Source organism: Homo sapiens, chromosome X (assembly GCF_000001405.40).
Source record: "Homo sapiens chromosome X, GRCh38.p14 Primary Assembly".
NCBI classification, from domain to species: domain Eukaryota; kingdom Metazoa; phylum Chordata; class Mammalia; order Primates; family Hominidae; genus Homo; species Homo sapiens.
Genome location: NC_000023.11, coordinates 11,132,001 through 11,159,083, shown reverse-complemented (window position 1 = coordinate 11,159,083; position 27,083 = coordinate 11,132,001). Strand labels below are relative to the sequence as shown.

At 41.5% G+C, this 27,083-nt stretch overlaps 1 protein-coding gene across 5 annotated transcripts in view; it reads left to right on the top strand.

The window, feature by feature from the left end:
* The window catches only part of ARHGAP6 (Rho GTPase activating protein 6), a 528,377-nt gene extending 506,837 nt beyond the window's left edge, over positions 1 to 21,540 (top strand). For 3 of the 5 annotated variants that reach the window (NM_013427.3, NM_001287242.2, NM_013423.3), the window contains exons 10-13: positions 2,458 to 2,555; positions 14,836 to 15,104; positions 16,771 to 16,851; positions 19,554 to 21,540. In NM_013427.3, the coding sequence (NP_038286.2) occupies positions 2,458 to 2,555; positions 14,836 to 15,104; positions 16,771 to 16,851; positions 19,554 to 20,221 (1,116 nt within the window). In that variant the 3' untranslated portion in view covers positions 20,222 to 21,540. Of the gene's footprint in view, positions 1 to 2,457; positions 2,556 to 10,364; positions 10,455 to 14,835; positions 15,688 to 16,770; positions 16,852 to 19,553 lie in introns of those variants that run through there. The other 2 variants (NR_109776.2, NM_006125.3) reach the window with 2 other exon arrangements.

The window sequence follows — 27,083 nt, the reverse complement described above, 5'->3', positions numbered from 1 at the left end:
CCTTCCTTCTACCTGGAATGATTTTCTCCAACTCCTTCATCAGTTTGAGTTTTCTGCTAAAATGTCAGCTTCTCTGGGACTGACAATCCTATTGAAAACTGCGTCTTCCCAAGCATTTCTCATTGCCCTTCTTTGCCTTGTGTTTCTCTATGTTTTTCTTGTATGTTTGTTTAATGCCCGTCTTTCCATATTTGTTACCAGCTTCATGAAGACAAGGATTATTGTCTGTTTGGTTTGTAACTGAATTCCCAGCATCCAATACCTGGCACTCAGGAAGCATTCACTCAACATTTATGCAATGAATGAAAGGAAGGGAGGGAAGAGAAGACCTGAGGGAGAAGCACAGTGGTGCTGAAGTAGAGCTTGTGTGGAATGACTGCTAGGGGAGAAGATGGGAAAGACAGATTGAGGACAGTATGCAAGTGGATGGCTTCAGCCATGGGAATAAAAAGAGTTTCCAGTAAATGAGTGTCTTGACCATGGCATTCTGACAACCACATAGAGAAGAAATGTGCTGCACATGTTAAGGAAATAGCAGACAAATTTGAAAGCTGTTGTATCAAAGGTTCATCAAGTACGTATTTTTCTTTGCAATGCAAAACTCAAACTAGCTTAAGTAATTTGAAGGCTCACATAGCTGAACAATCCACAAGCAAATATGGCTTCAGACATAGCTTGTCCCGGGACTCAGATGATATCAAGACATCCCTTTTATCTCTATTTCTTGGTATTGTTTGCTCAATTGTCAGCGCAATCATCAGGCCTCATATGGATACAGGCCCTGTATCCTCTCTTAGAAGTCTCAGGGAAAACCTCCAGGGTTTTCATTGCCTCTGATGGAGTCACATGCCCATTGCTCAGGCAACTATGATGATCTGGGAATGGAATGCTCAATAGACTTTGACTACGATACACACTTCACCCTTGAGCTAAGGCTTGGGTAGCAGTTGGTTTACCAGAGGGAACGTGGGGTATAACTATTATAAGAGGAGGGAAATGGAGACTTTTAATGATGAACAGATGACCACTACAAAAGGCTAATGAGGGCTTGAACTTGAGTCTCTGCAGTTGGAATGGAAAAGGGAGAAAAGAAGTAACAGAGATGAAGTCTAGTAGGCCTCCTGGCTCTGAATGGAGAGAGGATGCAGAGAAGCTTTAGTACAATTCTGAGATCTTGAGCTTGCGTGATTAGAAGTTGGCAATGTCATTAATGAAGGTTCACGATAAAGTAGGAGGAACAGATTTGTAAGAGACAGAACACATTTCCTTGCTTTCTCATCCCTGTTTTTATTAATAAAATTGTTTCCAGATTCTCAGAGCTCAAGAACTGTAGAGTTCTGCAAGAGGCAAGAAGCAAATTCTTCCACCAACCACTTATTTTCAGAAGACTTAACCCTGCAGTTTTAAAAAGTCTTCTCTCTGAGCTCATGTGTGAGAGAATCAGACTGAAATTTTATTTTCTCTCAATAGTTTTGAGTTTCCTTTGGTTGAGCTATCAGCTTCTATGGAATAAGAAACCACAAGTCAGAGCTGGGTTCAATCATCTCTTATAGAACATTTCCACACAGATGACTTAGGGTTGTGAGGCCATCTTCTAATGTACTGTGGATGGATTAGGCTTAGAGAAATATATGATGCTCATCTATAGAACTCTACTGGATGCCTAACAAATTACAAAGTGAGAAACTTTTCATCACTGATGGACCAGGTGCAAGAAAGGAGTAAAGGCAGGCACCGAATAATAAAGTGACATATGCAAATGTAGTAGCCAGCAATTTTTTGAGTATTTACCATTGACCAAGTACTGTTTTAAAGTCTCAACATATAATAAGTCATTTAATCACCATAGCAATGCTTCGTGGTGAGTACTGTTGTTATCCCCATTTTACACGTGAGCAAACTGAGATCTAGGAAGATCCTTGTCGATGTACGTTGTCAAGGGTCCCACAGCTAGTGACTGGCGTGGCTAAGATTCAAACCCAAGCAGTCTGGCTCAAGGGCCTGCCTTCTTAATAAACTGATCATATATTCCAGAACTGCCCAATACAGTCATCATTTCTGCCTGCTGCCTTGGCATAATTATAAATGTGAACTCTAGAAAGTGCCCCCATTGGGCAATAAATTATGGACACTATTTCTCTGAACCATGATATTTTCCTTATTCAAAACCAAGAAAATCTAACCTGAGCAATAAAGGCATCCAAGTGGTTCAGTTGTATCTCCAGGCATATGAGGGGTGACATTTTGGATTGAATATGACTATTGGTAATCATCCAGTTGGTCCTAAGAATTAAAGCAGCTGCATGGGTTGGCGTAGGTTTGGTTTTAACCAGCAAATCATTCTGCTGTCTTGCAGCTTTTAGGGCTCTGTTTTGTGCTACAGTAAAATTGTCAGTGACCATATGTTGCCTGTTTCTGGAATGGTTTTATTTATGCCTCAACATTTGGCTCCTTCAGGTTCCCCCAGATCTCCAGAACGAAGTGCTGATCAGCCTGTTAGAGACCGATCCTGATGTCGTGGACTATTTACTCAGAAGAAAGGCTTCCCAATCATCGTGAGTATTCCAGTGTTCCATCTTCTAAAGCCGCATTGGAGATTTCTATTTCCATTTCTGAGAAATTGGAAAGGTTTACATAAGTACATGCAGGGTGACCTGAAGTGGAATTTTGGCAACTCTTTGGCAATTCTGATCAGTCCATCTAACCAGAAAATGCTTCGGGTCCCATCAATCCACTTACCAAATTAGAAACCACATTACAAGATTTTTCTGTTTTATTTTCAGCTTTCTCTAGCCTCTCAGGGTCCTTTTGACTTCATTTACAGGGAAAAAGCACAAATTACTGGCAAGGGACTATAATACACGTCAATGATTCTACTTCTAGAATTCTGATAAGCGTGCATAGGGGCCCTTAAGGCTGCGCCTGGATGCATCTTGCTTGTGCAGCTTTACCAGTGGGATTAACCCATTATCAAACCACAAGACAGACCTTAGCTGAGGCCTAGGTGCCCATTTGAAATTAGAGGTGTGCACCTTCTTGGCTCTCCCACTTTTTATAGCTAGTATTATTTTGATAAAAATGCACATGGGTTTCTACATGCACTCATGTTTGCAATTAGTAAAATGCAAGCCATGCTGCAGGCTATGGCTTGCTGCCATTTTTGCTCCCAAAAGAGGAGCACAGAGTTTTTGCATTAGTCAGATTTTATGGTTACTTCCAATCTTTGCTGCAGAGGCAGAGGGTGTGGGGATGCTGAGCATTTGGCATAACCAGTTAAGGGCATAATATAGCATCATTAACCAGGAGTAGTATCATCACCAGGACACCAAACAATAAATTTGTGACAGGAAAAGTTGTTGCTATGCTCTTACAAAATTATCACTTTTGTTATACTTTTAACCTACTAAATTTCAGCAATTCTAAGATACGTTTCTCCCATGACCTATGATCTCTGAAATTGAGACTAATCTTATAACCAATGATAAGCTCCTAACGTAATCCCGTACCTGTAACCCCAGCACTTTGGGATGCCGAGGCGGGCAGATCACCTGAGGTCAGGAGTTCGAGACCAACCTGGCCAACATGGCTAAACCCCCTCTCTACTAAAAATACAAAAATTAGCCAGGCGTAGTGACAGGTGCCTGTAATCCCAGCTACTCGTGAGGCTGAGATGGGAGAATCGCTTGAACTGGGGAGGTGGAAGTTGCAGTGAGCCGAGACTGCACCACTGCACTCCAGCCTGGGTGACAGAGTGAGACTCTGTCTCATAATAATAAATAAATAAACAAATAAATAAAATAATGGCATGTCTTAATCGATGGTGTCTTATAAACAGTAACACATGTTAAGTTATTCCTGTATATTGGTGTTGAACTTGATAAATTAATTTTCACTCATGATTATTGCAGATACTTAAAAAGTTATATTATTTAGAAAAATTTGGTGAAAAGGAATTCCATGTTGTTCAACCTCCTTCTTTCCCAGGTCATTACGTTGATAGCACAGCTAAATTCAGCTTCACTCCATTTCCAGCTTAGCAGGGAAGACCTTTTAATTGGATTATCCTTTCAGATCTACTTTAAAAAATCTGTGTCTGGGCCATTCATTATCAGGCCAAATTCTGATTCAAATAGGACCAAATTCTGTTGAAAGTAAGGCCTGGATTCAAGCCCCAAGAGCCATGAGTGAATAAAATTATATTCAAATTGTATAGATGAGCTAGTATTTTATGGTCTTGCTTTTCATATCAGAGAATTAGGCTTACATTTAAATTTTTCCTAGATTTCTAACCCTCATCAAGGTATAAGTCCTAATTTATATTAACAAATGGCTTTTCTTTTCAGCAGATCATGCACCACCATAATTTTGATAAACTCATTTATTTCCCTCCCTTGTACAGAAAAGAGACATGCTGGCATTTCCATTTATGAGCCCCTCATTTAAACTGCACTTATAACATATGGTTGGTACTGTGTGGGAAAGCTACAAAACACACACTTTTGAGGAAAACCACTGATTTTTGCCTGGCCAAATTTCTGCTTTTGTGTGGCATTATGAGATAGATAAATACTATACTTTAAAGAACAGTTGATAGAAGTTTTTTTACATGGTTTTCAAATACACTCTTTGCATATAAATGCTGTGGTAAAAAGCGAACCTTTCTTTCTCTTCTATTAGGAAAAGGAAGAAGCACACATATTAAGCCCATTCCAAGCTGTACAATTGTCCAGCCCCTTCTGTTCCCTATCCGTAAGAGTAAGAAGTAGAATTTTAAAGTGTAGGTGAGCAGACCCTAGACCAAGATCTTAGGTGAGTGTCAGGGCTTCCAAGAAAATAGCAAAGACTTGGAACCAACCCAAATGTCCAACAACGATAGACTGGATTAAGAAAATGTGGCACATATACATCATGGAATACTATGCAGCCATAAAAAATGAAGAGTTCATGTCCTTTGTAGGGACATGGATGAAGCTGGAAACCATCATTCTCAGCAAACTATCGCAAGGACAGAAACACCAAACACCGCATGTTCTCACTCATAGGTGGGAATTGAACAATGAGAACACATGGACACAGGAAGGGGAACATCACACTCCGGGGTCTGTTGTGGGATGGGGGGAGGGGGGAGGAATAGCATTAGGAGATATACCTAATGCTAAATGACGAGTTAATGGGTGCAGCACACCAACATGGCACATGCATGCATATGTAACAAACCTGCACATTGTGCACATGTACCCTAAAACTTAAAGTATAATAATAATAAAATAAAAAGAAGAATGAGCCCATAGGAGCTCTGTGTATGTCAGAGACTAGCATTATCAGTGAACAGAAAACACTGGGGGAAGACTTACTTAGGAGAAGAAAGTGTTTGGTTTTTGTTTGTGTTCCTCTAGGTACAGGCCAAGGAACAGCCCAGAAGGCAGAGAATGATGTCATGAAGTAAAAATGCATATGTTAATAAATGAGTGTTTACTTTTAGTGGTCTTTTGAGGCTTGAGCTCCAGAGTGCTACCCCTCTAGCTGTAGTTGCCTTTTTTTTTTTTTTTTTTTTTTTTTGAGATCGAGTCTCGCTCTGTCACCCAGGCTGGAGTACAGTGGCACAATCTCGGCTCACTGCAATCCCCACCTCCCGGGTTCAAACGATTCTCCTGCCTCAGCCTCCCAAGTAGCTGAGATTACAGGTGCATGCCACCACACCTGGCTAATTTATGTATTTTTAGTAGAGACGGGGTTTCACTATGTTGGCCAGACTGGTCTCGAACTCCTGACCTTGTGATCCATCCGCCTCAGCCTCCCAAAGTAGGTGGTCTTTTTGTGTTTTAAACTCACTCACTCATGCTTCTCAAACTTTACTATGCATGGGTATCACCAGATCTTGTTAAAATGCTCTTTCTGAATCAGTAGGACTCGGGGAGGTAGTCTATGAATCTGAATTTCTAACAAGCTCCCAAGTGATCCTGATACTACTGGTCCATGATCCACACTTTGAGTTTAAAAAGCTTAAAATATCAAAGTATATTCTTGCTTTTAGGAGCTTTCAGACTTGTTGGAGGAGGCCTCCAAGGGTAGAATGCCAAACAATAGGTGCTGGCCCACTGGCTGTCAGACTCACCAGCCCCTTGGAATCACCTGGGAGCCTGAAGAACAACTATGCCTGGGCCACCCCTCAGAGATTCTGGTTCATTTTCATAGGCTGCAATCTGGACATTCGGATTTTTGTTTAAAGTCTCTTGCATGATTTTAATGAGCAACCAGGGTTAAGAACCTCTAGCTTAGATCTACCACGTTGGATATCACAAATTTACTATCATGTGGGAGTTTGAGCTGGGTGATTTTTGACATTAAAAAGGCATCCTTGTGTTGACAAAGGAAGGGAATCAATGCTCCAGACCATGAATCCACTTGGAGTTTGGAGAAGGAAAAGAGGTGTGATTTGAAGTCTCAGAGATAGCTTCTGAGAAGAGGAAGGATTTGCAGTGAACTTTGAAGACTGTGGAGGATATAAACAAGCCTGGATATTTGGGGAGCTTGCACCAGGACCTGGACATAACAGTAAATATGTTGGCTAGCTGGGGTCACAATAAAGAGGCTGGCCAGCAGTGAAGGTAGAAGCCCTTAAATGGCAGGCTGAGGGGTGGTGCTTAAGTCAAGAAGCAGTGACAATAGATTACTGTAAGGCTAAATTATAGTAAATTACAGTACCCTAAACTGCCAGATGGTGCTGGCTGCATTGGCAAGTCAATTATCCATCAGTAACACATGTTTGTGTAGTCAGTTATCTGTCAATAACACATGCTTGTGTAGTTTAATAGACTGGTTACCATTTCAGATCCAGAGCCAGATTGCCTACGTTTCAATTCCATTTCTATTGCTATTATATATGCGGTCTATTAGTTAAGAGTTAATATCTGTTAATACATAGATAGATCTCTCTCTCTAGTTTCCTCATCTGTAAACTAGAGATAAAAAGTAGCACCAACTTAAATACAGAATTATGCTCTTAGTGTATAGTCTGGTATATCATAAACATCACCAATTTGCTCATTTACAACTACTTACCAAAGGCGTGGCCATCACTAGATTCTACTTTGGTTTTCATGAGATAGCAACCTTCCAGGCAATATGACACAAGAGAGAACCCGTTCACTTTAAGTTATAGCATTGTGTCTAAAAGCAAACACTATATTTGCTTCTAACCCTTTGATTTTTTTTTCCTGAAGCTTCTGTTCTCTGCCACCAGTTCACATACCTAAACAAAGCTTTACATTCCTGTGAGGCCAAGTGGAAACTGCACAAGATTTTATTTGGAGGGGAAAAGAAACAAGTTTCAAAAGAGTGTAAAACCAAGAACAAGAAAATATTATAATTTCTGTTTTGAAAGAGCAAACATTTAGTGATATTTGGGAACTTAATATTTTGTTTTGATTTGGGTTTTTCACTTCTTTATGCAACATCGGTATTGGAGGAGTTAAAGGATAATTCCTTGTTTTTTCTCGTGCTTGTCTGCTTAAGTATTTGGCTTCAACCAAAACGGGATGCCAGAGGGGGATTAGAAGAGATTTTTATGACTAAGAATGCAAGACCAGGAGTCTGTGACCAGCCTGGTCACCACAGCAAGACCCCATCTCTACTAAAGAAAAATTTAAAAGTTATCTGGGCATGGTGGCTCATGCCTGTACTCCCAGCTACTCGGGAGGATGAGGCAGGAGGATCACCTGAGCCCGGGGTTTTGTGGCTGCAGTGAGCCAAGATTAGGCCACTGCACTCCAACCTGGGCAACAGAGTGAGACCTTGTCTCTAGGGGGAAAAAAAAAAAAAAAGAAAGCAAGACTTTGATTTTTAAAAATATATACTTGTCAGGTATGTTTACTAGCATTATATATGCTCTTTTCTTCAAAGGTACTTAAAATAGTTCCCCTACCCTTTGATTTAAGGATGTGAGGAAATAGGGAATGAGAATGGGAGGTTAATCAAACAGGACAGGATATGTTGAATGTGAATATTTGCAACAAAACAAAGGAATCACAGTAGGACTGGGACTTAGTGAGAGGCAAGTGAGACGCTTGCCTAGACACAGAATTTAAGGGAATGCCAGAAAACTCAGTCAGCAAAATTGATTATATTGCAATGTAATATTTTTTAAAAATCCAAGCTAATGCCAAAAATGTTTGATAAAGAAAATATCAAAATTTTAAAAAGACTAGCCATGCTTAGTCATAGAACCTGAAACAAAAGGTAAAATATGTGCTGCTGCCTTAAATGGAAGCAACTCATAAGTCATATTTATTTTTTGAGACAGGGTCTCGCTCTGTCACCCAGGCTGGAGTGCAGTGGCACGACCATGGTTCATTGCAGCCTCAACCGCCTGGGCTCAAGCGATCTTCCTGCCTCAGCTCCCAAAGCAAGATTTTCAAAATCTACTTTGTTTATCTTGGTTCCAACTGAGAGAATTGCTATGTTTGACAGTTTCTCTTGACCAAGTGACAATCTTAAATAAGTTCTAACTAAATTAACCTGAAATAAAATAATAAGGAAATTCTGTTTGGGCATACATAAAACATTTAAATTTAATATAAATATTATAGGTTCGAATGTATCTTCTTTTCAATTTTTCAATTTTTTCAACTGCTTTGATGTTCTGGGAAAAAAAAATATACACAAAACCATGTATATAGAGGTACACAGTTTTCTTTTGCCTGAGGCATCTCGGGCCCCTAAGTTCCGCATAAGGGATGCTTTGCAGAACTAAGCATGATTAATGTGAAAATCCCCCATAAATCCAGAGCTCAGGAGAGCTCAGCAGAGCTCAGATCATCTGTGACACAGTAACTAGTTTCAGCAACAGGTCTTGTAATTTTTAAATATAGGCTTGAGGAAACATATAAAGATTTGCTCTTATTCTATCAAACCTCAGGGGCTCCCCAGAAATAGAATATTAATTAAATAAGGCTAAGTAAAGTATCTTCCCTTCTATACTCTGGAAACAAGATCAAAATAGAACAAATTTAACTGCATTTGGAGAGAAGGCAGATATGGATGAACTAAACTCAGGTATATATATTTAAATTTCATTGTGGTTAATTCTATTAGTAGCCTTCACAAAGTTTTTACTGGAAAAAAAATTAAACTAAAATTAATTTTAAAAATTAGCAAAACTGGTGACTAGTGTATCAAGAGCATGGTTGAAGATCTGTACTAGTCTGAAAAAAAATAAAATTTCAGTACTGAAAAATAATTGTATTGTTTAGCTAGATGTTCATCTTATTGAATGACAAATCTGCCTTCTTCATTCTGGGGGAGCATTAGGCTTTCTTCTAATTTAAAGGTATCACATTTAACTTACCAAATATCACATAGATCATTTCTTTTAATCTTTCAAAGCTCATCATTAAAAATATCTTTTTTCACAAACATGGAGTGTTATGTGACAGATTATAATTTCTGTTTTTCTTTTACTAGGATTTTTCATATCAGAAAGGGTTTCAGGAAATTTTCAGACAAGAAATCTAACTTTACCAGTACAATGTAACAGCAAAGAGTCCTATTGAGTGGCGGTAGCTGTTGGCCTCAATACCCTGGAAATTATGAAGCATTAACTGCCCCTGCCCCCCTCCCCCAACACACATACTCCATTCAAGAAAGTCTTTCCAGCCAGATAGTTTTAGAAAAAGCTTATGTGGAATAGAGAATTCCATAATGAAAAATTCTAAAATGTGTGCATATATGCCTTCTATGGAAAGGCATTCAAGATGGAGGGAGAATGTATCACATTACCCCTTCCTTCCTCACACCTTCACTATGATTCACAGCTTCTTTATAAATTTGCAGAATGTTAATTTGAAGATGTTTTTATCAGGCCCTCTGTAAATAATGAAAACAACACTGTCTGATCTTCACCTGTCATAAGTGCTCCATTTGCCAGAGACATTAGGAGGGAATTAATAAGGACTAAAAATGAGGGGAAAAATTTCACCAAAGGCTTATGCCCAGGGTGTTAGCTTCATCATCCAGTGGAGAGTTTAGAGCCATGTCAGTTCCTCTTTGAAGTGGGGTACCTTTATCCCTAGCAATCTGTCAAAGGGAGGCTTTGTAGAACTGATGGTGATTAATGTGCACATTCTTCATGATTCCAAAGCTGCTCCAGCAGTGGATTCCTTTCCCAGTACCATTGATATAATCCAAGATGGATGATACAATGCTTTCAGTTCCAACAGACTGGAACTTATCAGTCATATGATTAAGCCAAGGATGAAGCCAACACACATTTGAAACCTCCACAGTTCTTCTTGCTGGGGTAGCTCAGCAAGGTGCTGGGCGGGCCCCATCCGGTGATTGAACCGGAGTTTTCCATTTGTCCCCAGAACAAGTTCTGTGCTTCCGGCTGCAGTGCAGGCCTGCCCACAGTACCCTGCCAGCATGTTTACGCCCTGACCTGGAGGGACCAGCTAAGGGTGAGAATGTGACTCGCTCTCCATGCCCATCCCTTGCTTGTCTGGTTAGCTGAGATTGGCCATGCATGCTGTATGTAGATGGTCCTGGGGTTTGGGGGTCTAACGGGGAAACCCTCCATGCATGGAGGCAAACCCATGTAGACTGGTGACCTGTCCACCCAACCTCAATCCATGATGCTCTGAGACTGGAAAGAGAAGCCACCAGGCACTTTTGGATGCCAACTTATGTCAACTGGCAACTCATTCACCCAACATTCTGAACCTCAATCCATCAAACTCCAAGACATACAAAGAGATGTCACTATGTGCTTTTAGACTATTCCTCATCTAGTGAATCACTGATCAGAGTAAAAATTTCATGTAAATAGATACATGAGTATTTTAATGCCTTTATTTGGGACCCTGAACTCAAAACTATCTTCTTAGGGTTGGATTATCCTAGAGTCAAATCTGAGAGAAAACATTGTGGTTGCTTATCTCATTTTTCGGACATATCCAAAAGATGGTATGGTTTTCTAGATTTGACACTGAGTGTCCTGTGGAAAATCACTAAAACCTCCCCTCCTGGGCCCATTTCTCCACCAGTGTTCAGAAATTAGAGTGCTGCCAATTGGAACTGGTTTGTAGGAAGGTAATGCCCACTCAAGAAGCTCCCAGAGCTGACTCACAATGATGGGTTTTAGCCACCATCAGGCACCCTGGTCCTGGCAGACAACCACTTCTCTGACAGTTGTAGCCTGAAAGGTAGTTTTTCTTTCTTTTCTCACTTTTATCTCTAGGTTTCAGGGTCAGAGAAATTTCCTTTCCTATAAACTTTTACCATCCACATTTCCACTACACTACACCCGGATTTATTCACACCCTGTCTTCTTGCAGAATTTCTGGATTATAAGAATTTGTTTTTTGATTTGTGATTTTTATATGGAAAATCTTACAGAACTTTATAGATTTTACCTGATTTATAAATTTGACAAGCTGCTTTTACAATAGCTTCCATAAACTTAGAAATGTTTCAGAAACTGGGATAGAATAGAAAGATTTAGAAGTGGAAAATGGAAAATGGACAGACACAGGAAGCACAGGTGTGTAATGAAGGTATCCACAATGACTGGATGCCCAGCCCCCATTACAGGAGAGACATGCTCTGAAAGGCCCTCACAATTCTGCTTCCAAGTCTCTGGAAATTTCTCCGGACTCCAGCCTCCATTCAGCAATCCTACTCTCTCTCTGTTCTGTGTCTTTACTTCCAATTGTATCACCTAAGTGGGTGTATGTGTATATGCATGTGTATATAGTTGCATTTATGTGTATATGTAATATGTGTCTGTGTATATGTGTACATGTCTATGTCATATTTGTGTGTGTGTATATGTGTTTATGAATATGTATATGTGTGCATATGTTGATGCATGTATATGTATGTGTTCATATGTTGATGCATGTATATGTATGTGTTTATGTCTGAATATGTATATGTATGTGCGTGTGTGTTGGGTATGTATGTATATGTGAGTATGTGTATATATGTTGATCCTGGATTTGCTTCTGACAGATATAAAACAATAGAATGACACTATTTTTTTAAAAAATCTATGAACTGCCTATGTTGTTATGAGAGTTCTGAGGAGTGAATAAAACAGCTTTTTTTTTTAATCGGTGTGCTTTCATGTGAGAAGATAATTCTTGGACATAGGTTCTTAGGCAAATTTGGCTGCCACTTCCTGACCTCTGCTAAGACAATAAAATGATAGGGAAATATTTTAAACATTTTAAAAGGCTATTAACTCTAAGTAAGAAAGAGCATTTTACTACTGATTTGTAATAATGTTGAACACTATCTACCAAATAAATTCTAGAAGAATCCCAACCCTAACTGCCTCTGCTGCTAGAGAGCATGGTATTCAGCATTCAGTCAGCTCCTTGTTTCTTTCACTCAATCCCAGACTCAGGTCAGGAAAAAGGAGAGTTGTTAACAGTAGCTTAGTACAGTGCCTGCCACATAATTAACTCTGTATAAATATTAACTTTTACTCTCCTCACAGGCCAAGGGGATATTTCACATAAGTATATTTCCCAAACTGCTTGCCATGTGTACTCACACTGTATCTCCTCCCATGGCTGGGATACACTGGGGGGTGGGGAAACTGTGAAAAGAAGACATCGTCTCTCATTGGATGCCCCCTCTGTCTATGTCCCTGGCTGTGACCCCAGCCATCCCAAGGAGGTTCAGAGCCTGTGTCTACTATGAGACACCTCATCTACCTCTACCTCCAGGGATTCGCTTCAGCCACCCCCACTGTTTCCTCCCTGATGGAGGGCCCAGCTGTGGTCACTTTGCCGGCTTGACTTAGGAGACTGAACCAGAAGAGCAGAGAACACTACACTGGTACTTCCTACCCCCCTTTCACTTCAAAATGTTCTGATCCACAATGGGACTACACTACATTCAGTTGTCTGGATCCTGCTTAAGGCAGACAGAGGAGGTCCAGGAATCGGCTGGGATGGGGACACCCTTCCTCCTTCTCCTAACTGTGGCCTCAGTCACCCCAAGGTCAGGACCACCACATTCACTCCCAGGGCAGCCAATGCTGCAGTTTTGGCTACCATCTTTGGTTTCCCTCCTGATTTGGCTCTTAGCAGACCTTTAGCCCACTGTCACATCTACAGATTGAGAGAGGAAAATAAGGTTTGGTTATTAGAGGTTCCCAAACATCCCCGTGCATCAGAATCACCTGGAGGGATTCTTTAAAAAATTTGCTGGCCCCACCCTGAGTTTCCCTTTTAATAGGCAGAGCTGACTTTCAGGGCTGTGACTCCACACTCAGAAGAAGCCCACATTTGGTTTACTGATTTGCAGTGGCCATCTTGAAATGCTTAACGCTTTTTAAACACGGGGCATCACATGTTCATTTTGCACTGGGCTCCACAAATGGTGTAGCCAGTCCTGTCAGTAGGTCCAGAATGGAGCTGTAGAATTGGCATTGCCAACAAGTTCCCAGGTGAGACAGATGCAGCCACCCTGGGATGCACTTCACAACCACTCAATGAGATCTTGCAGACCTGGAAAATCATCCTCATAGCAGTCCTCTGGCTCCTTCCCATAAGATTACGTGATGAGAGTTCAAAGAGGAGGCAAGGAAGGGGCTTCTTTATTCCATGTTGGTAGGAAATGTCCTCAGCAAAAGGGTTCAGGCCCGTGTTTGCCTCAGTTACGGCTGTGGCAGTATCACAGAAGCTGGGATGTTTTTCCCGGCGATATTAACCCCTGCTGGAAACCTCAGAGGAAGCTAGATCCCTGTGAATGCACTTCCTCCAGTTTGCATGCACAAAACCATTTGGTTAGGAAAGTGTTGTTCAGGCATGTGTTTACCTTCTTTAAGAAATAAAAAGGATTTGTTTTGAAAAATTAAGCCAAAAGAGAGCAAAGACTAGTAAAGAGAAGTGAAGTAAGGGGGAAAAGATGTAGGTTCTGGAACTTTTAATCAATCTGTGATTGTTTCCCTTCAAGATGTTGTCAGGGCCAGTTTTGAGGAGGGTAGAAAAGAAAGATGTTTCCAGGTAAGACTTCCCATGCTCTTTTCACGTTGCTCAAGTTCTCATTTTTCTGTTCCACATACATTTTCACTGTTATTTCTGTTTCTGTGACAACTCATGAACACAGAACTATGATAATGGTATACTAATTAGTACATCATATCAGTTTGTAAAAGCACTAGTGCCTTGTAGAATCATTTTAGATGTATTTGAATAAAATGGAGTCTAGTGAGGGTCATATATTTATTGTTTTTGTCACTACTTTATACATGAAACACTTATTCCCACCGGTGGCATCAACATCTTTATCACATGAAGGATGGATTTATTTACACTAAGTACAGTAAGTATTTTGGTGGGATGGAAAAGTTGTCCAGAAAGCCATAATGAACTTCAAGCAAAGTGTCAACCATAGTTTTATCTGAATTATTTTTAATGCAGGATATTGAGGAAAGTGAAAGAGTTATCTACTAGTGTATCCTTACCTAATAGATAGTGAGCATCAGACTTTCACTTAAAAATGGAAGCAGGAATGAGTCCCTGAGGCACTTAGCGATGCCCATTGGCAAATGCAGGGCTCCTTGTCGGTTTCATTCTCACCGTGCCTTCTCCATCATTGCCTTTTCCTGTTATATCTGTTGGGTTTTACTGCCCTCTGCTGGTCATATCGTTGAAACCCTTTCACGTCATGGATGTACATGTCTTGGAACATTGCTCAAAATGGTCTTTTTGTTTCAGCCCGTGTCCACGCATACTCCTCCAGTCATTTGTGTAATAGCCATATTGTTTAAATCTGGTCACTACTTGTTAACAAACTCACGCACCTGTAATTGTCTCATTGTGCCAGAAGCCCTGACATGCTGCAGTCGGAAGTTTCCTTTTCCGTGGGAGGGAGGCATTCATCTACAGACTCCAACAAGGCCTCCAGCGGAGACATCTCCCCTTATGACAACAACTCCCCAGTGCTGTCTGAGCGCTCCCTGCTGGCTATGCAAGAGGACGCGGCCCCGGGGGGCTCGGAGAAGCTTTACAGAGTGCCAGGGCAGTTTATGCTGGTGGGCCACTTGTCGTCGTCAAAGTCAAGGGAAAGTTCTCCTGGACCAAGGCTTGGGAAAGGTAACTGGAGCCTGGCCAGCAGGCGCTGGCCAAAACAAGCGACCCTCCTCTTGTTGCATGTGGCATGGTGTGGGGCTCTTCGGACCTTCTCTTCGTCTCTCCCTTATTTGATGTTTCTGTAATTCAACCTGCATTTACCGAGTACCTGCTGAACGCCTACTCTAGGAAGAGGAAGGTATGGCGAGCCCAGTCGTTGGCTGGGAGGGTCCCTGCAGGCCACACTCCAAGTCTCAGATATCTGGGAAATAAACGCATGCCCAGAGGAGCCACTCCTATTCCCAGCTGATTCTTTTTCCCTCCAGCATCCTAGGAACTTTATGTATACTGGATTTGGGTTGCATATTTGCTAGTCTGAGGTGCCACCCAATTACTGCTGTTACATTTCTAAAGAAAACAAGCTGAACCTACTATATGTATGAAGACAACCTTCCAGAACCAAATAGTGTTAGTATCCAATGACAAGAGAGCACTATACTGGGAGTCACAAACCTGCTCTGCCACTTTCAACCTGCAGGATCTCCAGTGAGCGATTGAGCTTCCCAGAGTCCCATTTCCTCCTGCTGTGAAAACTCAGAATGATAACAGTATTTAATTCATTGAGTTTAATGAACTAATCCATGTAAAGCCCTCAACGCAGCACTTCAAATGTAATACGCACTCGATAATACTTGCTGTGTAATCTTGTGTGCATTTCTTACCTGCTCCTTACGCTAGTTGCATCGTCTGTAAAATGATCTGCTGGGAACCTCCTAGGGATGAAGTGAGATAACGCATGTGAACTGCTGAACACGTGGAGGCACCCAGTAGACGTCTGCTGCTATAAATCGTAATTATAATCCCATCATGGGATTGTAGTGAGGATTAAATGAGATGGTGAAAAAGCCTAATGTAGTGCCTTACTCCATAAATATTGATGGATAAGCTAAGGGGATTTATGAGTGAATGCATGCATGAAGAAATCCAGTGATACCAATAGCAAAGTATTCCTGAGGATAGTACAGAAACTCTATTGTTCCTCTAGTTCTGTGTTAATGTGTTTAGCACCTATAAAGCTGTTGTCACCCATCACCCTTCTATTCATTTCCTATAACATGCAAACTTATTATTTTATGGTTCTGGAGGTGAGAAGTCTAAAATGGGTCCACAGGGCCTCTTTCCCTTCTGGACGTCCTAGGGCACAATCGTTTTCTTGCCTTTTCTAGCTTCTAGAAGCTGCTGCATTCCTTGGCTCGAGGCCCCTTCCTCCATCTTTTAAGCCAACAGTCTAGCAACATCTTCTCTCCTACCCCTCTCTTATAAGGACCCTTGTAATTATATTGGCCCCATCCAGATAATCCAGGAAAATCTCCCCATCTCAAGAACCATAATTTAATCACACCTGCAAAGCCCTTTTCGAAAATAACATCTTTGTAGATTTGTGGGATTATGACACAGATATCTTTGGGGGGGCCCTTATTCTGTCTACCACGAGCATGATATAGAAAGGGCCTTTTTGTAAATCCCAAGTAGAATGAACACGCTGAAAGGTGGATCTGAATTGTATTCTGTTTTGTATACAACAGGATCTTGAATACAATACTTTGCACAGAAGAGATGTTATTAAAATGTTCATTGATTTTTAATTTTCCTTTTGTGTTATATACCTTTTTATACACTTTTTCCCTAGATCTGTCAGAGGAGCCTTTCGATATCTGGGGAACTTGGCATTCAACATTAAAAAGCGGATCCAAAGACCCAGGAATGACAGGTGAAGTATTAATTTTAAACTTTATTGCATTTACTTTTAAAATTATTTTCTAAAGTTTTCTTTACTATCATTATATTACATGCTTGTCAAACATTACTTGGGAAATGCTGAAAATGGGAGGGGATGAAACTATCCTTAGGCTTTCCACCCAAATATGCCAATCTTTGACTATATTTTTTTCCATTTCCTTTGCAAAGGTTTTCATAGTTACAGTCACTCTGTCTGTGCAACTTTGTATTATTTTCTAACTTCCATTTTCCAGTTACTCTCCATTATCCTTTTTAAGGGCCAGGGGTATTCCACAGAGTGCATAATCATAGCTTACAAACCAATACTAAGTCATTTGAAATTTTTTGTTATTGTTGTAATAAGTTACACTTTCAGGAGCCTCTTTTATGTAATTAATTTTTCAAATTATTAATAGATTCACAAAATTTTGGAAAGCAAGTCAAAGGTTATAAATCCCAAACAGGGAAGTGCGTCAAATATAACAAGGCTTTCCAAGAATCTGGAGGTACAGTCACCTCCTGTGCTGTATGGGACCCACTACCTTACATTCTGTAAACTGTGGATGGCAGGAGATTTTACACTGCTGTGTGCAAATCTCATCAGTATTGCAAGTTAGTGGGTTTTCACTTTTGCTAACTTAAAAAACAAAATTGCATTTGTTAATTTGATTTGCATTTCTTTCCTACCAGTATTTTTCAGTGTTTCTATTAATTTGCTGAACTTCCCCCCATTGAATTGTTACTTATATCATTTCCTATTTATGTATGCCAGTGTTTTTTAAATTCTTATGAACTCTTTATATAATAAAGATGTTAACTCTTTTTCCATATTGTTTACTTACTTGCATTTTCTTTTTTTACATAATTAATTTTATCACTGTCTCTTCTCTGTGAATTCTTTCATAAAATTAATCTTCAGTTCAGCGTTGGATAGTCAGTCATCTGTATGCGTTTCTTTTTAATGTCATTTCATTGTTTCAACCTTAATTTTTTTAATCCATCTGGAATACATGTTATATATGGTATAAAATGTGTAAATTATTTGTTTGGTTGTTTTATATTTATATTTATATTCCCTTTCTCATTGTTTTGTAATATCTCCCATATTACATTTTAAAAGCACAGTGCATTTTTAAATGTAATGCCCTCTAGTGCTGATTCCTTTTCTAACTATATCTCACTGTATCCTGTGAAGAGCCTTACTCCATTTTCCTTTTCCAGTTTCAGCTGTCACCTGTTTCAGCTATCATTTGTTTCTTTGTAAATACTCACATCCCCCACTCCCCTGTCCCCAACATGGCCTTGTTCTTGTTCCTTGTCTGCTTTTTAAGAAGTGGAGGGCAGAGCAGATTCATAGGAAAATGGTAGTCTGGGTACACATGCCCCAAGGACTCCTCCTTTGCCTTGCAAAATGCACTGTTATTTCTTTCCCTTCAGTTTCCTAAAGAAAGTTGTATCCTTTAGGGAAAGCTAACTGCTGTAACAACTCCGAAATGGGGCAGTGGCTTAACCTATTACAACTGGATTTCTCCCTCACTGTCCCAGTACAGTGTGGACTGTGAGGGGTGAGGAGGGGCGGGAGTGTGTGAGGGGAGGGAATGCTGTCTTCCACATAGTCACTAAGGGGCCCAGCCTAGGCTCCACATATCCAGTGGCTCCACCATCCTCAGAGCCCCGGGAGTCTTCCAAGAGTTTCAGAGCCTAGAGAGTCTTCATGCTGGGCTGGTAGTTAAGGGAAGGGGGAAAGCAAAGATCAGTAGGAAGGCATTCGTTTAGTTTTTTTTTTTTAATTTTTTTTTTTTTTTTTGTGACGGAGTCTCACTCTGTCACCCAGGCTGGAGTGCAGTGGCGCGATCTCGGCTCACTGCAAGCTCCGCCTCCCGGGTTCATGCCATTTTCCTGCCTTAGCCTCCCAAGTAGCTGGGACTACAGGCACCCACCACCACACCTGGCTAATTTTTTGTATTTTTAGTGGAGACGGGGTTTCACTGTGTTAGCCAGGGTGGTTTAATTTTTTTTTTTATTTTTTTTTTTAGTTCAGGCCTAGAAATGGCTTACATCACATCTGTCCACATTTGTTGCCCAGACCTCATTTCTGTGGCCCTCCTAACTGCCAGAGAGGCTGGAAACTGCCATGTAGGAAGTAAAGGGGAACGATTGGGTGATCACCAAGTCAGCCTTTCCTGCATTGATGGTAGGAGAATATGCATAGTGGCTGGCCTGCCTTCTGGCATGGAATGGGGTACTTGAGATTCAAGTAACTTCATTGATGCAATAGAAACATGAAAACATTATAATTTGTATCTCTCCTGGATTACAGATTGCATTGAACAAGAAGGGAATGCTTCTTTCACCTTCTGGATTCTGAAAAGTTTTCCCAGCCATGTAGAGGGGCCCTTTCCTGAAACACAAATTGGTGGCAAAGCCAATTATTAATATAGTCTGACGTCTCAGCTAACCTGTCAGAGTCTAGGCATATGAATTGAGCCGATAATCAAAAAGCATTTGTCTTTTTTTGTTTTGCTGGGAAGGTTGTTTTCTTCAGGTAGCAGCAGCTAAGAGCATACTGTGCTGTTTCAGTTTTAGAAGTCCGGGGGGACGTCGTAGAAGTGGGAAGGAAATAACAGGATTTGAATCCCCAGCAAGGATTCTACAAACTGATTCCATTTCTTGGGCTTTCTCTCTGGCTTCCAGGTTCCTCTGGAGACATTTTTGAAAGCAGCTCCCTAAGAGCGGGGCCCTGCTCCCTTTCTCAAGGGAACCTGTCCCCAAATTGGCCTCGGTGGCAGGGGAGCCCCGCAGAGCTGGACAGCGACACGCAGGGGGCTCGGAGGACTCAGGCCGCAGCCCCCGCGACGGAGGGCAGGGCCCACCCTGCGGTGTCGCGCGCCTGCAGCACGCCCCACGTCCAGGTGGCAGGGAAAGCCGAGCGGCCCACGGCCAGGTCGGAGCAGTACTTGACCCTGAGCGGCGCCCACGACCTCAGCGAGAGTGAGCTGGATGTGGCCGGGCTGCAGAGCCGGGCCACACCTCAGTGCCAAAGACCCCATGGGAGTGGGAGGGATGACAAGCGGCCCCCGCCTCCATACCCGGGCCCAGGGAAGCCCGCGGCAGCGGCAGCCTGGATCCAGGGGCCCCCGGAAGGCGTGGAGACACCCACGGACCAGGGAGGCCAAGCAGCCGAGCGAGAGCAGCAGGTCACGCAGAAAAAACTGAGCAGCGCCAACTCCCTGCCAGCGGGCGAGCAGGACAGTCCGCGCCTGGGGGACGCTGGCTGGCTCGACTGGCAGAGAGAGCGCTGGCAGATCTGGGAGCTCCTGTCGACCGACAACCCCGATGCCCTGCCCGAGACGCTGGTCTGAGCCCGCACCCAGCCGAGCCCCCCCTGCCCCGAGCCCCCCGCCCTCCAGCCCAGGGGGGACCGTGGGTGGTGGCCACTGGCACACTTAGTGTTCTTCTTTCACACTTCTCAAAAGTGACACAAGAGAAATCCAGTTCACCTACAGAGGTAGAGCACTCACGCCCCCGCCATTGAGAATAAGGTTCCATTGCGTAGCCAGCCTTAGGAAAAACAAACAGAACCCAAACCAGATGGCAATGTCCAATCTAAAAACGTCCCTCTTGGCTCTATAATATAAGATACAACTCTTGCTTGGTATAGCCTAACCGTATTTATGTGTCTTCGGTTTTGACTATTGTGTATTCTGTAACAGATTATGTATAATCATATATGATATATTCACAAAGAGAAAACAAAAGGAACTTTTAAAAAAAAAATCACTTCACTTATATTAAGCAATGAGATATACTAAACAATGAGATTCTATAGAATGTTCTAGAATGTGCACAAGCGGGTTTCTGTGCTTTTGCCATAGCTTTATAACTGGGGATAACCCTTCCTTCGATACCAAACACTAACAAGAGGAAGCAGAATATGAGAAGCCATATTTTTACATAGGAGTCAGATACAAAAAGAAAAATCACTGAATGCTTTTAGATATTGAATACGTTTTCAGGAAAATGCTAAATCTGATAGATTACGAAATATATTTTTAGAACTTGTTTAGAAAGGATTCAGTTAACCAAACAAGAAAAAGGCAGTGCCTCACAAAGAAATTAAGAAGTTGTCCGTCCCACGTTACATCAAATTCAGTTTTATATAGGCCATATATAATATATATTTATAATGTATAATTTTTATGTATTTTTCAAAACTACAAACTGGAATCCAACTATAAAGTGTTTAAGAATCTACACAGAATATTCAAATTATAGAACATGTTTTTTCCCTTTGCCCCATAATCAGTATTTGCCAAATTACATGCAATTCCTTAAAAACTAAATCACATTTGGTAAAAGGCCTACAGCTTTGTACTTACATTGTGCCAAAGGCTGAGGAAATGTTTTCTTTCGTAATTTTATGTGTATTGTAAAATGTTCTACCGTACTTTAGTAGTTTGAAGTTTTTCAAGTGCATAACTATTTTTGACCAGCAGATGGCGATACGCTTCAGTATTTTATGCAATTTTTTTTCACTTCTGAAGGGAAAGTGTATTATAAAAAAAGATTTTTTTTTTTTTTATAAAACATGCTACTCTTAATTTTCATGTTGGTGATGAAATTCCCAGTGGTGTTTCTTAAGGTTCTATCTTGTGCCATGATGAATAAAAAGTTAAGCAAAGGCTTTGTTTCCTGGCTTTAAATCTCTTGAATGAATTTGCATCACATTTCAGACATATTCTTCACTATCCACAGATCCAAGTGTAATAAATCATGGCAATTCTATGCATATACATATATAGCAAAAAAGCTGGTTTAAAAATATCAGATGGCTTTGGGACATCAACTCAGTGACACCAAAGCATTTAGAAATGTATAATAATTTGTTGCAAGTAAAGGCTGATTTCCTCGACTGTTGAAGAGGTGGTTTTCTACAGGACTGAAACTCAGGTTTCCTGAGTTTCCTGAACTGTGTTGGGCAGCTGTTGCCCAACGCAATTCCTGTTAAGCTACACCTGCTCTGTGGGCCTTAGATGCCTAATTTGCTTCAGGGCCGAAATAATAAAAGCTAGAAGTGGCATGTGGTATTTCTTATTTGGGAATGGTTTGAGATAGCTTCAGGCTCTGCCATCCGGTCCAGCACTTCCACCACTGGCTGGGACTCAGGGAGGATTTGCCTGCAGACCTCTGGTTCTTCCTGACTGCCCACACTCAGCCAAAAGTTGTCAACAAGATCCAGAGGAAATGCTGCTTGGTTGTGGATCGCAGGTGGCTTTTCTGTGCCACCTACTCTCATCCTACTCCTGCTGATGCTACTTCCCTGGCTTTGAATTTGACCATGATCTGATCAGTTCTTTCCCTCCTTCCTAGATTGGATGGCCTGATAAATGCGACTCTCTTTCTACCATGTTCTTGCTAGAGTAGTCCTATTTTTAAAAAAACATCCAGATCAAATGGCCCTGAAGTTGATGCCTGTGTCAGAAAAGGTCACGAAAAGTATGTCCATCTGTTAATAGATCTAAAATAAGCAGTCCAGAAAACAGGACTCACAATATCTTTTACATATATCTCAATATTCACTCTCCCTCTCTTTGTACATTTAAGCTTAGGGGCCATGTCTTTAGCTTAGTGAGTTACAGCTTGTTTCTTTTTCTCTTTTGAGATGGAGTCTTGCTCTCTCACCCAGGCTGGAGTGTAGTGCTATGATCTGTGCTCACTGCAACTTCTGCCTCCTGGGCTTAAGCGATTCTCCTGCCTCAGCCTCCTGAGTAGCTGGGATTACAGGCGCACAACACCATGCCCGGCTAATTTTTGTATTTTAGTAGAGATAGGGTTTCCCCATGTTGGCTGGGCTGGTCTCGAACTCCTGACCTGAGGTGATCCACCCGCCTCGGCCTCCCAAAGTGTTGGGATTACAGGTGTGAGCCACCGTGCCGGGCCTTGTTTCTTAAATGCCTTTATCATATTGAAAATAAGCAGTTTAAAAAAAATCGTACATGAAACCCAAAGACCTGAGGGAAATTATCCTTTCTAATACCTTATAAATGATATAATACCTGACAAGAAAAAAATAAAAAACTCTTTCAAGCTGGCCAAAATGCCTTTAAAAGGCTGTTCAAGTCACTCATTCCCCATGAACAGACAGCTTCAACAAGCATGAAAAAAGCTTCAGTGTGTCACATATGTTTCTCCATCTATGAATACTCTGACATTGACATTGAAACAATATGAGCCATTGTTTTTGTGTCTCTGGCAAAGGGGCCAGAATGGGGATGGCAGAAATGGCCAAATACGAATTTGTCTTGATCCATCTAAGTAGCTATTACCATATGTTTGTTGTGGGTTTTTATAGAAAAAAAAACCCTCTTATACCAATGGAATTTGTGCAAATTGAGGAAATTTCTAAATAAACCCAGCTTGCTTCTTTTCTTATGCACATTTTAATACACATCTGCTTGGCAGAGAAACAGCATTGGGATTAAATATAAAGGGACGTCAGAACAAAGTCCAGGCCTGTGGGGTATGTTGGTCTGATAAGCAAACTGGGGGAGGTAGATTATACTGAACTGAGAAGAAAGGAAATGACTGAAGAAGAGTTACACAGAGGTTAAAACAGGACATCTCAACTGAGAATTTTAAAACAGAACTAAATCAGTAGCAAATGTTCTTCAAGAGAAAAAAAAAAAAAAACAAACCAAGGGAAAATTTGGACAAAGGTTGGAATTCTTCTTCGGCACAGTCAAGGTGACAGATGGTGTCATGGAGATGGCAAACGGCAGACCATGGTTTCTGGGGTACCCACCCCGACCTGGTGTGACCCTCAATTCACCAAGGTACATCCAGTGTCAGCTCCAACTGGAGGCCCCCAAGAGGTCGCCAAAGGACTAGAAGCATCTCTAAGTTCAATTCAACCAATATCTTTTCAGCTTAGGGTGACCAACTCATCCCAGTTTCCCCAGGAATGTTCCGAGTTTAGGAAAAAACAAAAAAGTCCCATATCTGGGACACAGGCCATTCTATGACTCGGCAGGGTGGGGAAAGGTGGCATGGGGGATCCAGGACACTTGACCTTGGCATCTCTCAAGTAGGGTAGCCAAATAAGATACAGGACACCCAGTTCAATTTGAATGTCAGATAAACAACTGATCTTGTATTAGTAACAGTGTTCCCATTCAATACCTGAGACATAATTATGCTAAAAAAATTATTCTTTATCACACATATTGCATGGGACATACATTAAAAAGGGATTCGTTGTTTATCTGACATTCAAGTTGAACCTAGCACCTATTTGCTAAATCTGGCAACCCTAATCTCCAACCTTAATACCCCACCCATTCCCCAGTGATCTGTTTGACATTCTCGCTGAATGTCCCCTGGATGCCTCAACCATCCTGAAGGACCAGTAAGCCATGTTCTCACCAGCCACCACTCCTATCTTTATGCAGAGCACCGCTTCCTGCTCCCCACCAGCAGCCTGGCCTGCGATCCCCCTCTTGTTGCCCTACTGTGCACATGTTTACTGTTTGTCCACCCCACTCAGAGTGGGCCCTTCCATCTCTGGCCTCCCACCCCTCCTCCATACTGCCACAGTTTATAGTTCTGAAGCGCACATTATGTCAGAGGCCCATCACTGCTGAAAAACCATTGATGCCCTCCTGCTCCCAGATATACAGGACAAAGTCCATACCCCACCATAACATCAACATACTCCGCGATCTGGTCTCATCTACCTCTGCCTCTTATCTCTCCCAAGCATGGCACCCCATACTCTGGCCATGTACAGAAAACCTCATTCCCATGTGCAGAGCACACTTTTGCATTTTTGTTCCAAGGGTATCGAATGCTCTTCCCTGCTTTTCCTACACAATTGGAAGCTATTTTCCCGGCAAAATCAGCTCAAACCTTCCCTTCCTACAAACATGATTCTACACAGCTTATTCTGGCCCTTTGCCATGTGGCAGTGTGAGCAAGCATTGCTGTGCATTACAGTTACTGTCTTATTCTTTTATATGGACGTTGTTTCCTCTCTGTCCCTGAGGGTGGGGACCATGTATTTCTTTTCTGCACCCTCAGAACTGGGGTACCTGACACACAGTTGGCATTTGATAAAATTTTGCTGAATGTATGCGTGTAAATATGACCAAGCAGCTTACCATGGAGTAGAGGAAAAATACATGTCTGTCAACTTGTATTAATCCAATATTGGTAGATTCATCCAATGATCCACGTGGCAAATGCAGAGATAGTGATATATTTTCCAAATAAAAATAGATTTTTGAAGAAAGAAGGAGACAGTCTGAGGAGACGCTGATGGCAAGCACAGAGACATGGTCTCTCAACCAGCCCTCCTCTGCAGAGATGTACCACCTCAGCTCTGTACTGTATGGGACAGAGGAAGTGGGTGGCTTTCCATTCTTAAGATGAAAATTTGAATGGTAAATGACATAAGTAAATGTATAGTTCTATGCTCCCTGGTAAGCATGCAATAGATACTTAGTGATCAAAAAGACAAGGATGTTTCAAGATATGGGCCTCAGCATCCAAGAGAACAAGGTTTGATTGCTGTCTTTCCCATTTATCAGCTGGGTGACCTCAAGAAAGTTGCTTTAATCTGCAGACTCTCCATTTTATCAGAATAGTTGGAGCATAAAAACACCAAACTGCCAGGATTCTTCTGAGGATTATATGAAACAATACGTAGAGCAGTGCTAGCCACATAACAAATATTCGACAAATGGCAGTGTAATTGGTGTCCTATGTGAGACCATTTTAGAAACAAAAATTGGGAAGCTTGTGGTGAAATGCAGTAGTAGTAACTAACATTTATTAACAACTTCTGCTCTAGTCTCAGTGTTTTGTGCACTTTCACTCATTTAACCCCCTCATTTTCCAGAGGGCACAATTGGCTCAAAGTGACATTAAATGAGTTGCCCAAAGCCATACATCTAGAAGGTGCAGAACCAGGATTTGGTCACAGGCCATCCAACTGTGCCACCTGCTGTTTGTATAATGCAGAGTCTATGAACAAAGCTCTGTGGTTATTTATTGGAGCCCCTGGGTATCTCTCATAAAGAAGAGGGCTTAGCTGGACCATCCCCTGGGGAGGGCTCCTGCCTCCGGGATGATCCACAGCTTCAGGGGAGCATTGAAGGGCTCTGGGTTCCCTGCCCATTTCCTACTGAAGTAAGGGAAATTAAAGCTGAAATTTAAAAAGGTCTAAAGAGGGTTTTATTTTTGAAAAGTTTTGGATAGCAAAACCACAGGGAAAAATGGGTGTGATTTAGTCATTGAACTCTCCTGGTTGAATTATACTTAAGAATATTCAATTTGCGTATTTATTAATTTGACACCTTGCACTTAATTAGTTTAGCATTATCTTTAGATTTTCCTTTGGCTCATACAGCTATAATAGCCATGCAATGGCTTTATTAGGTCAATTGGTTGGTTGATGGATTCATCCAATAACTTATCTAGTCAATATTTACCAGTGGCCTACTGGCTTCCAAGCCCATTAGAAAGACAGATAAGACAAGTCCAAATCTGCCTTCAAAGATATCTCAGCTAATAAAATGGTCACTCTTGTAAACTGTACTGCAAGAAGGGCAGCAGATGCTGTCAAGTCCCACAAATCCAGCAAATGTGCCAGTGTCTGGTGTCTGGTAGGCAAACCATAAATCGTTGCATAAATTTATCAATAGATAAATCAATCAATCAATCAATCCATCCATCCAACCAACCAACCATCCATCCATCCATCATTCTGTCTGTCCCAGGGTGAAAAGTCAGAGAAATGACCATAGCACAAAATGCTGCTTGGATTTTGAAGTTAAACCCCAAACAGGAAAGACAGTCTCTGGAAGTGGAGCAAACACCTTAGAAAGAACTTGGCAGAAATCAGGGATGGTGTGGTCACAATTAGGGTTGGTTTCCTTTGCAGTCACAGAGGACCCCATGCTTGGAAGAGCCCAGCACCTATTTGAATACTCTGTCAGTGCCATCTTGGAATTTTCATACTTTTGAACAAGCAGCCCCACATTTTCATTTTCCACTGGAACTTGCAAATGATGTAGGCAGATCTGGTCACGTTCTTTGCTAGATAAAGAGAAGGACCCAGTTTCAGAACAGGAAGCCCCTCATAGTACAGGTGAGCCACCTGAGGCCCAAGGAGGTTAAAGGGCCTTTTGCCTGAGGCCATTTTACGAAGTTCCTAACTCCTCCACA